General features: G+C 42.9%; 1 annotated feature.

The window, feature by feature from the left end:
* Window positions 1,108–1,197: a silencer, noted in NCBI's record as "silent region_17546". NCBI's record gives its function as "represses an Ori minimal core promoter by ATAC-STARR-seq in GM12878 lymphoblastoid cells {active_cell/tissue: GM12878}" and the evidence as "EXISTENCE:reporter gene assay evidence [ECO:0000049][PMID:35858748]".

Below are 1,774 nucleotides of genomic sequence, written 5' to 3' on the forward strand. Positions count from 1 at the left end.
CCCGTCTCAGCCTTCCAAGCCTTTCAAAGTGCTGGGATTACAGGTGTGAGCCACCACTCCCGGCCGGGATATTTTAAAAATACTGCTGCCTTAGCCAAAACTACAGAAGATCATTAAACTGAAGTGGAGCCTGGGCTTCAGAATTAGAAAAATAAAAACTTAAAAAAAAATACTTCTCTGAGTACTTCTAAGTTCATCCAGTGTGGAGAGTCAGGTGCCCAAATTATTCAAATTTTTTTTTATTCTGGTTTTTAAGCACATAATACTCCATGTGATTCCTGGAAAGAAATCTGCAAGAACCTGGATTTGGTTGTCTTTATGGCATCTTCTAGTTCTAAAATGAATTCCTTCTGTACCAACAACTAATGCTGATACTTTTGCTGGTTAGGGATATAGGTGGAATTGGTGAAGTGGGGGTATACTGGACCAAGGGAGTGATGGAAAAGATGAGCACAAACCCATAACGCCAGAAAAGGAAACGTGGCTCTCATGCTGCAGATTTATATTTTATTTATTTTTATTTTTTCATTTTTTTATACTTTTGAGACAGGATCTCACTCTTGTTGCCCAGGCTGGAGTGCAGTGGGGTGATCATGTGGCAGGCCAGGTCTCACAAACAGGCAGGCCTCCATAATAACTGTTTCAGCACTGACTGAATGGTTAGGTTAAATATTAAAGGCTGAGAGAGCCAGTGCCCTTACACAAAGTCCAGAACAAGTAACAAAGGCCCACCAAGACTCTTTCCCAGGCCTTCCTGGGCCTTGAAGCATGACAAGATAACGAAGGAATACTCACACTCCTTGTGACAAGACAGTCTTCGGGAGATTCCCAGCAGCTGCCGGGTGAGGTTTTCCTGGAGACTCTCCCCAGGGCTATCCCATGTGCAAAACCACACGTCCCTCTCCCTACTGGGGAATAACGGAGATCGGGGTGGACGCGCTCAAAGGGTAAAACCAGATTTATGCCAGGAGCCTATTATTTTCCCATCTGGGCTTGTTAAGCCATTTGCCTGGTACTGCCAGGGAAGCAATAGGGCTCGCTTATACACCTGCTTTGCATTTGGTTAAGATCAGGTTTTGAGTGGGTTTTGAGTCTGTTCTGCCCGAGTGCACCCCCTCTCTTGTCTTTGTCTGAAATCTGTCTCTGCTTGTTTGTGTATCTGTCATGGCTCACTGCAGCCTCAAACTCTGGCCTCAAGGGATCCTCACACCTCAACCTCTCCAGTAGCTGGGACTATTGGCATGCACCACCATGCCTGGCTAATTTTTGTTGTTGTTGTTATAGAGACAGAGTCTCCCTATGTTGCCCCGGCTGGTCTCAAATTCCTGGACTCAAGCAATCCTCTTCCCCCTGATTTTCAGAAATAGTGTCTAAATTCTATGATTTAGACATGTTTAGTTAGAGTAGTGATGCAGTCATTGTATTTATATTAGAATACATTCTTTTCATATTTTTTTTCTCACTGCTTTTAGGGTTGGAAGAGTTTAGTTAGTTAGAGTAGTGTTTTCCAAAGGGTGTACTGCAGTCTACAGGATTTTGATAATCTTTTCATTAGAGGAGTATTCAAGCTTTATTTAACCAAGGGGGTTGTCATAGAACTCATGTTCCATGGAACCAAACTTTGAGAATCACTGCCTTAGGGTCACTGAAACTAGAAGAGTTTAGCATCCACTATTTGCTAAAATTCTCTTTGACCAACACTATTATTAATTTAGCTTCTTTCATCACCAAACTGTAACCCCTTTTCAGCATGGAGTACACATGCTAGGATGCA

The sequence above is a fragment of the Homo sapiens genome, chromosome 6 (genome assembly GCF_000001405.40).
Source record: "Homo sapiens chromosome 6, GRCh38.p14 Primary Assembly".
Taxonomy (NCBI): Eukaryota; Metazoa; Chordata; class Mammalia; order Primates; family Hominidae; genus Homo; species Homo sapiens.